Here is a 9,629-nt window from a genome sequence, read left to right as displayed (position 1 = left end):
TCAAATTTATAAAAACACATATCTGAGCTGGGCATGGTGGCTCATGCCTGTAATCCCAGCACTTCGGGAGGCTGAGGCAGGAGGATCACCTGAGGTCAGGAGTTGGAGACCGCTGGCCAACATGGCAAAACCCCGTCTCTACTAAAAGTACAAAAATTAGCCGGGTGTGGTGGTGGGCATCTATAATCCCAGCTACTCGGGAAGCTGAGACAGGAGAATTGCTTGAACCCAGGAGGCAGAGGTTGCAGTGAGCCGAGATCGTGCCACTGCACTCCAGCCTGGGTGACAAGAGCGAGACTCCATCTAAAAAAAAAAAAACACATATCTGGAATTCCTTGGACTCTGCTCTCATCTATATAGTAGCTTCATCTTCAGATTGATAATAAGTTGGCTATCACAGTGCTGGGCATCATATTTAGTGTGACAATGGCCAGCCAATGGACAGGTGGGCACAGGTTGCTGCCTACCTGTCCCACCTCCAGCCCTAAGGTGGTTTTCCCCTATCTCAGTAGATGGAACATATAATCGGGTTTTATACCGAGACATTCCATTGCCCAGGGACGGGCAGGAGACAGATGCCTTCCTCTTGTCTCAACTGCAAAGAGGCGTTCCTTCCTCTTATACTAATCCTCCTCAGCACAGACCCTTTACGGGTGGTGTCGGGCTGGGGGACGGTCAGGTCTTTCCCTTCCCACGAGGCCATATTTCAGACTATCACATGGGGAGAAACCTTGGATAATACCTGGCTTTCCTAGGCAGAGGTCCCTGAGGTCTTCCGCAGTGTTTGTGTCCCTGGGTACTTGAGATTAGGGAATGGTGATGACTCTTAATGAGCATGCTGCCTTCAAGCGTCTGTTTAACAAAGCACATCTTGCACCGCCCTTAATCCATTTAACCCTGAGTTGACACAGCACATGTTTCAGAGAGCATGGAGTTGGGGGTAAGGTTACAGATTAACAGCATCTCAAGGCAGAAGAATTTTTCTTAGTACAGAACAAAATGGAGTCTCCTATGTCTACTTCTTTCTACACAGACACAGTAACAATCGGATCTCTCTTTCTTTTCCCCACAGCCATCTCTACTAAAAATACAAAAAATTAGCCAGGCATGGTGGCACGTACCTGTAATCCCAGCTACTCAGGAGGCTGAGGCAGGAGAACCCAGGAGGCAGAGGTTGCAGTGAGCCAAGATCGCGCCATTGTACTCCAGGCTGGGCAACAGGGCAAGACTCCATTCCAAAAGAAAGGAAGGAGGAAGGGAGGGAAGGAAGGAAGGGAGGAAGGAAGGAAAGGGCTGGTGCTGTGGCTCACACTTTGGGAAGCCCAGGTGGGAGGATTGCTTGAGACCAGAAATTCAAGACCAGCCTGGGCAGCATAGCAAGACCCTGTCTTTACAAAAAAATAATATAAATATTAGCCAGGCATGGTGGTGCACACCTGTAGTTCCAGCTACTTAGGAGGCTGAGGTGGGAGGATCCCTTGAGCCAGAGGTCAAGGCTACAGTGAGCCATGATCGCACCACTGCACTCCAGTCTGAGCTACAGAGCAAGACCTGACTCAAAGAAAAACAAAAAGTGAAGAAAACTTTTCCCCAAGCTAGAGGTCAGTGCAACTGCAATAATGGAGCACCACCTGGGATGCCTTCAGCTTTTCACATGTGTCCGTGGTTATCAACCTTATCTGCGTATTAGAGCACCTGGAGAAATTTAAAGGCTATGGCTGCCTGGGTCCTGCTTCCAGATATTCTGAGTTAATTGTTCCAGGGAGTTTTTAACGTTTCTCCAGTGATTCTAAAGTACAGCCAATGTTGACAACCACGGATGCAAATAGAATTCTGATAATCTCACAACCCCTGGTCCTGCAGACTTCCCCAAAGGTGCCCAGACATACTTAAATCCTAGCTTGAGCACAGCCATAACCTCATTACCCTAGAATGTCTGGTCTCTGGTGTTCACAGAGAAATTTACTAAATCACATCTTTTTTTCATGCAAAAATGCTATATTTATATATGCCGGTTTACTGTACACTATATGTGCATAAAGTTTCATCCCCCCACAACAAATGCAAATGCTAAAGATACTACCATCCAGTTACAGAAGAGAAGAGCTATCTTTTTTTTTTTCTTTTGCCCAACATAGGTTCATGGCTGAGGCCCCTCTAACAAAAAGCAGATTAACAAGAGAAAAGCATTCAAATGTATTTAATACAAGTTTTACGTGACATGGGAGTCTTAATAAGGAAATGAAGACCCCAAAAAAGAGTTAAATTTGTATATTTTTATGGTATGTTTGATGAATAGACAGTCATGGAGAAATATAATTGGGCAAAGGGGGTACAACCTAATGGCAAAAAATGGGGGAATTTAGCAAGGCCTGTTTGTTCAGATTCTTTTCTGTGACCCATTGTCTTCAGAGAAAAGGATGTTCCTTTCCTCCGTGTATAGAGAGGGCACCTCTCACTCGAGGGCCTTTTGACCTGCTTCAGAAGTAAGTCAGAAAAATCTTTCCTAGGTTTTATGACCTGCTTCAGGGGAGGAGAGATGGCGGGAAGATGAGAGTGACCTTCCTGCTTCCGCTATTTTCTCAAATTCCTTTGTCTTAAAATATTCAATATGTCAAGGTACCATGTTTTGGGGTAGAGAATTCTAAACCCCATTGTGATAAACTCCTGCAGACTCCAATTATTCAACCAATAAGGGCTAGAAAGTTTCTACAAATGAGAAGGCAGAAATGTTGTCTGTTGACGCTCAGGACATGACATGCTCACCCAAAATATGGAACTACGGAATCTGAGAAAACAGCAGAAGCAGGAAGTTCTCTCTGGCCTTCTCCTACCCTTCTCCCCTGAAGCAGGTCATGAAACCTAGGAAGGTCACTCAATGACCTTCTCCCTGGAGGAAAGGGATAAAGGCACAAAGAAGCCAAGAAGAATCAGAACAAACAGGCTTTCCTAAAGTACCCCCAGTTTTTTACCATTAGATCATACCCTTTTGTCCTCAAATCATACTTCTGCACAACTATCCATAAAAATACACAGATTTTTTCCATTTCTTTGGGTCTTCATTTATCAAAACTCCCATGTCACATAAAACTTATATTAAATAAATTTGTTTGCTTTTTTTTGTTGTTAATATGTCATTGTTAGAGAGGTCTCGGCCATCAGCCTTGCTATGGATGAGGAAAATATAGTATTTCTTTTTCTCCTTTACAGTATGCAATGTGTTCAGAGTTCTTATTACATTCAGGACATAAAAAAATTTTCCATGTCAGATCATGTTTAGCGAATGCATGATATGTATAAAACATTTTAATACTTCTTATTTGGGGGTCACAAAGAAATAGAAAATTTGAGCCAGGCACAGTGGCTCACACCTGTAATCCCAGTACTTTGGAAGGCCAAGGTGGTTGCATCACTTGAGCCCAGAAGTTTGAGGCCAGCCTGGACAACATAGTGGGACCTTGTCTCTAGAAAAAAAAATATTAAAATAATAAAAAAAAAGAAAATATGATGTTTATACTTCAGGAGCTTACTATCAAAATAGGAGATTCCAAAGAAATTCACTAGTAGAACACTTTAAAAGGGCTGGATAAATACAATGAAGAAAGAGGCAAACACTACTTTATAATAGTAATAACTACCATTTGCAAAAGACTTATTATAATGTTCCAAGCCAACATTATATATATGATATTTCTAATATTTAGGAGAACCCATAAGGTAGATTTTCATTAACAACACTTTACAGAAGAGAGAAATAAAGTGCAGAAGTAACTTACCCAAAATCACATAGTTATCATTCTATTAACTTACCATGTACTACTGCTACTTTTCAGTAATTTAAATATAAATTTTGGTGAAGATGAAAAATTCCTGGCCGGGCGCGGTGGCTCACGCCTGTAATCCCAGCACTTTGGGAGGCCGAGGCGGGCGGATCACGAGGTCAGGAGATCGAGACCATCCCGGCTAAAACGGTGAAACCCCGTCTCTACTAAAAATACAAAAAATTAGCCGGGCGTAGTGGCGGGCGCCTGTAGTCCCAGCTACTTGGGAGGCTGAGGCAGGAGAATGGCGTGAACCCGGGAGGCGGAGCTTGCAGTGAGCCGAGATCCCGCCACTGCACTCCAGCCTGGGCGACAGAGCGAGACTCCGTCTCAAAAAAAAAAAAAAAAAAAAAAAAAAAAGAAAAATTCCTATCAATATTCTGTGGAAGTGGCAATGTTCTGTGACATTTCCACAATATCAAGGTAATATATATGTAGATATAATATTGTAAGAATTTTAAAGACTTTGAAAGGGACATTGAAGTCTGATGAAGATGCAGTACTTGGGAAGTCAGAATTGCAGAAATGGTCTTTCTCTGGCTAGGTATTCCTCCTCTGTCCCATCTGTATAAAACATGGATATTATTTTTATATCTGCCTCAAGGATACGCTATGAGAACTGAGAATTTCCTAACTATGGCATAAAAGTGTTCTTTGCTGTTGTGTTATTTGTTTTGATTTTAATGTCTTGAGAATAAAAGGTATAAGAAGACGTGAATTTCCCCCAAAGCTAAAGCAGCCTAGCTGGAGGGCCCTCGTTTTCCTGGGCTCTTCCAACCCTTGACGTGTCCTCCATGGGGAATGCGAAGAGAAAGCAGCATGGCCCCAGCCTGAGGGCCATTCTCCATGTCCTGATGGTGGTCCTGGTTCAGCCTGTGAGGCCACGTAGGTCCTTGGTTTTGCATAGGAAGGAATTCAAGAGTGAGCGAAGAGTAAAACAAAAGCAAGTTTATGAAGACAGCAAAGTAATAAAGGGGTGGCTACTCCATAGGCAGAGCAGCCCTGATGGCTATTTTTATAGTTATTTCTTGATCATATGCTAAACAAGGGATGGATTATTCATGAGTTTTCCAGGAATGGGGTGAGCAATTTCTGGAACTGAGGGCTCCTCCCACGTTCAGACCATATAGGATGACTTCCAGATGTTGCCATGGCATTTGTTAACTGTCATGGCACTGGTGGGAGTGTCTTTTAGCATGCTAATGTATTATAATTAGGGTATAAGGAGAAGTGAGGATGACCAGAGATCATTTTTGCAGTTTTGATTGTTTTTTTTTTTTTTTTTTTTGAGATGGAGTCTTGTTCTGTTATCCAGGCTGGAGTACAGTGGCATGATGTCGGCTCTCTGCAAACTCTGCCTCCCGGGTTCAAGCAATTCTCCTGCCTCAGCCTCCCGAGTAGGTGGGACTACAGGCCACCACACTCGGCTAATAATTTTTGTACGGTTTTACCACATCTCATTTCATAAGTGGAGTCTTTGTGACCTGTGCTTTGCAAAACCAGTCCTGCCAAACTCCTATCTCCTCCCCCATTCAGAGATCTTATACTCCTTTTTAATGTTAAAGGGTTGCAGGAAGATAAAGGTCTCATCTTCCATAACTGCTTCATGCTGAACAGGGGCCATCGTCCCTACCTGCCCTCCTTCTGGAGGCATAGAAAGCTCTCACCATCCGATCTAATGATATATAGGAACTCAATATTTTCTGCAGTGGCACAGGCTGGAACCCTCAGGCCAGCTATTTTTGTCTGGAACTGTTATAACTTGGAAGACATAAACTTTAACAGGATGAACCCCTGTTGAATATAACAAATAATAATTATTTCTAAAAATCAAATAAAAACAAACAGATTTTTAGTAAGAGGCATTTTTATGAGAACAGAAGAAAAACAAAGGTTAATTTTGGGCACAGTCTATCCAGGGGTTAGACTCAAAGCATCTTTAGTTATAGAGCAGGAAGGCAGCGGCAACCTCACACATTTTTCTCATCTATATCACAAGGAATAAGCTTTAGCTTGCAGGGCCTCAGGAGGAAGGTAGTAGTGATTTTGAATTTACTCAGAAAAATGGAAGAAAAATTTGAAAACAGTTTGGGGACTTGTAACCCAGAAAGAATTTAGGAGTCAGTCCAAATTTTGAACAATAATAAAAACCCAAAAAACAATGGTCAAGACTAGAATCTAACAACACGTGTACTATAGTTTTTTGTAGTATAATTTTTTCTCTCTGAAGTCTCTCATTTTTATAAAAGATAAATCGTGGTAGGACCAATTTGTTTGCAAAATAAGTTTTAGTCTTATTATATTTTGCCTGATTTTTGCATAAAGGGCAGCAAGAATAATTATCTGCCATATAGGCTCTTTGTAAATAGGCTTTGATGGAACTTTGTTACATAAATAATCTCAGATTAGGTTTTTTAAGGTCTTGAGCCCAGCCACAGATTTATCTGTGCCAACAAACGCCTTTATGAGTTGGGTGAATTCCTCTCCTCTCGAGGTCCCAAGGTAACTTGGGGCTCCTGGGCCTGTCAGAAAGTGACATTTTTACTTACCACAAGTCAAGAACCCTGTACAGGGACTGCATAGACAAGGTGTGAGGCCAGTTTTCCCAAGGGGCTTTTATTGGCTCTATAAGTCAACTTTGACTCCTTAAAGCAGTCTGTTTATATTTGAAAGCATGCCACAGACTCCGTTTTGGGAAAAAATTCTGTTTTCCTCATGGAACCCCAGGAATTTTTTTTTTTTTTTTCTTGAGACAGAGTCTTGCTCTGTCGCCCAGGCTGGAGTGCAGTGGCACAATTTTGGCGGAATCTCGGCTCACTGCAAGCTCCGCCTCCCGGGTTCACGCCATTCTCCTGCCCCAGCCTCCTGAGTAGCTGGGACTACAGGCACCCGCCACCATGCCTGGCTAATTTTTTGTATTTTTAGTAGAGACGGGGTTTCACCGTGTTCGCCAGGATGGTCACGATCTCCTGACCTCGTGATCCGCCCGCCAAAGTGCTGGGATTACAGGCGTGAGGCACGGCGCTGGGCCGGAACCCCAGGAATTCTAAGTAGATAGATTCCTCTCAAAATCTAAGGCTTTGCTCTGTTTTGCATTGCATTATCTGATCTCTTTGACTTTTGGGTTCAAGAGAAGGGATGACAAGGTGGGTTACAAAGGACATGACTTGCCAGGCATGCTGCATGTCTGGGGCACCCACACAACAGAAGACTGCAATCAGGCTACCAAGCCAGAGGTCTCACAGCCACTTCCCCACCTGTCTAAAATAACGAACATAGGAAAGGACAGAGGAGCCAAAATCAAAGGGGAAAAAAAAGTAGCAAGTTGAAATTGGACAAAGGGAGACTCACCCACCCATCAGGTCTGAATGGTGCCAATTGGTTTTAGTCTGGGTTTCAGGGGGAGGTCTCCATTGTCCCTTCATTTGTTGTCAGAAAGGATGTCACAGGCTGAACACCAAAGGCCCTGTGATATTTGCCTTCGCACATTAAGGAATTCAAGAGCAAGCCAACAGAGTAAAGTGAAAGTAAAGGAATAAAAGGGTGGCTACTCCATAGGCAGAGCTGCTGGTTGGCTATTTTTATGTTTTTTTATGTTTTATGTTTTTGTGGGTTTTTTATGTTTATTTTTATGTTTTTTAAAAATCATATGCTAAACAAGGGATGGATTATTCATTAGTTTTTTGGGAAAGGGGTGGGCAATTCCTGGAACTGAGGGAATTCCTCCTGCTTTCAGACCATATAGGGTAACTTCCAGGCGTTGCCATGACATTTGTAAACTTTCACGGTGCTGGTGGGAGTATCTTTTAGCATATTAATATATTATAATGAGCATATAATGAGCAGTGAGGACAACTAGAGGTCATTTTCATCGCCATCTGGTTTTGGCGGGTTTTGACTGGCTTCTTTACTACATATCATTTTATCAGCCGGGTCTTTGTGATCTGTACCTTGTAAAACCAGTCCTGCCCAACTCCTGACTCACTGGCATGGCATCGGGATAGGCACACTGCCATCACTACCTCCATCAATGTGAGTCTTAGCAATGACCAGCCCCTGATAGACCACTGCACACGTGGACCTTCTATTTGCCTTCAAGGACTGAAGCTGGGAAGGTGACTATTGGGATCGATGAACACTTGGCTGAGTTGGACCAGCTGCAGCAGCCTCAGCTGGGGGCAGGGGTAAGGGAGTTAACAGGGATGAACAAGCCTAGCAAGGTCAAGGTTGAAGTTCTCCAAGGTTGCCTTTGGGTGAAAAGCTCTCTTGATCAAGAAATTGTGGAACACCTTATAATGAGGTATCAACAATAGGGAGTCAAAAAGAAAAATAACTCAGTTTATTTTCTGTTTTTTTGGTTTGTTTGTTTGTTTGTTTGTTTGTTTGTTTGTTTTTGAGACAGGGCCTCACTCTTTCACCCAGGCTGGAGTGGAGGGGTGTAATCACAGCTTACTACAGCCTCAGCCTCCTGGGTTCAAGCAATCCCCCCACCTCAGCCTGCTGAGTAGCTTGGACTGTAGGGACACACCACAATGCCCAGCTAGTTTTTATCATTTTTTGTAGAGACAGGATTTTGCCATGTTGCTCAGTCTGATCTTGAACTCTTAGGCTCAGGCAATCTACCCACCTCAGCTTCCTAAAGTGCTGGGATGACAGGCATGAGCTACCACACCCAGCCTACAGTTTAGTTTTAATTATAAACAAAATATTAGAATAAATTGAAAATGGCTGGGCGTGGTGGCTTATGCCTGTCATCCCAGCACTTTGGGAGGCCAAGGCAGATGGATCATTTGAGCCCAGGAGTTTGAGACCAGCCAGGGCAACATAGTGAGACCTCATTGCTACAAAAAAAAAAATTAATTAAAAAATAAAAAATTGTCTGGGTGCGGTGGCTCACGCCTGTAATCCCAGCACTTTGGGAGGCCGAGGCGGGCAGATCACCTGAGGTCGGGAGTTCAAGACCAGCCTCATCAACATGGAGAAACCCTGTCTCTACTAAAAATACAAAGTTAGCCGGGCGTGGTGGCGCATGCCTGTAATCCCAGCTACTCCAGAGGCTGAGGCAGGAGAATCGCTTGAATCCGGGAGGCGGAGGTTGTGGTGAGCCAAGATCACACCATTGCACTCCAGCCTGGGCAACAAGAGCAAAACTCCATCTCAAAAAAATGAATAAATAAATAAATAAATAAAAGTAAACAGTCATAGTAGAGGAGAGACTGAATTATTTTTTAATTCTCTCTATAGAAAATACTATGAAACCTTGGTCCTATTAACAGATAATCAAAGAGTATGTAAGAAAAAAAGGAATTTTAGTGTATGTTAGGCAGTTAGTAATCATGAAAATATTAATACTGATTTTTTGTTTGTGGTATTTTTCAGCTCTTTAAAATTTGTAACTTGTAATTAATAGTTCTAAATAAACATACAATTTTGTATTAGTTTCATATTTACAATTCTGCATTCTTTTTATTAAAGACGGTCCCCATAATGTATAAACTTCAGGCTCACCAAACCCGGAAGTGTCTAGGTACAATATAAACTCAATATGGAGTGAACAACTAGTTTAGAAAATTCTATATCTAGGGTTTTGTTAGTGTCTTTCATAATATGACCTCAGGTAATCAAGTGACTTACTTGGCCAGTGGAAAGGAGTGGAAATAAAGATTAAGAGGTGTCAATAACAGACACCCAGCCGTAGATGGGCCAGAAGAACAAACTCTGCCCCTAGTCTAGTGGTATAGAGGAGACACAGACAGAAACCATTAACAAGCTTTAAGCAAGGGAGCAAGTGTTTAAGACTAGGAGGCA

General features: G+C 42.7%; 1 annotated feature.

The window, feature by feature from the left end:
* Positions 1,142–1,818: an enhancer, noted in NCBI's record as "H3K4me1 hESC enhancer chr2:209063532-209064208 (GRCh37/hg19 assembly coordinates)". NCBI's record gives its function as "activates a minimal SCP1, AML or CMV promoter by ChIP-STARR-seq in naive H9 embryonic stem cells {active_cell/tissue: H9 hESC(naive)}" and the evidence as "EXISTENCE:reporter gene assay evidence [ECO:0000049][PMID:30033119]".

The sequence above is a fragment of the Homo sapiens genome, chromosome 2 (assembly GCF_000001405.40).
Source record: "Homo sapiens chromosome 2, GRCh38.p14 Primary Assembly".
Taxonomy (NCBI): Eukaryota; Metazoa; Chordata; class Mammalia; order Primates; family Hominidae; genus Homo; species Homo sapiens.
Note: the sequence above shows the minus strand (reverse complement) of the source record. Positions and strands in the feature narration are given on the sequence as shown.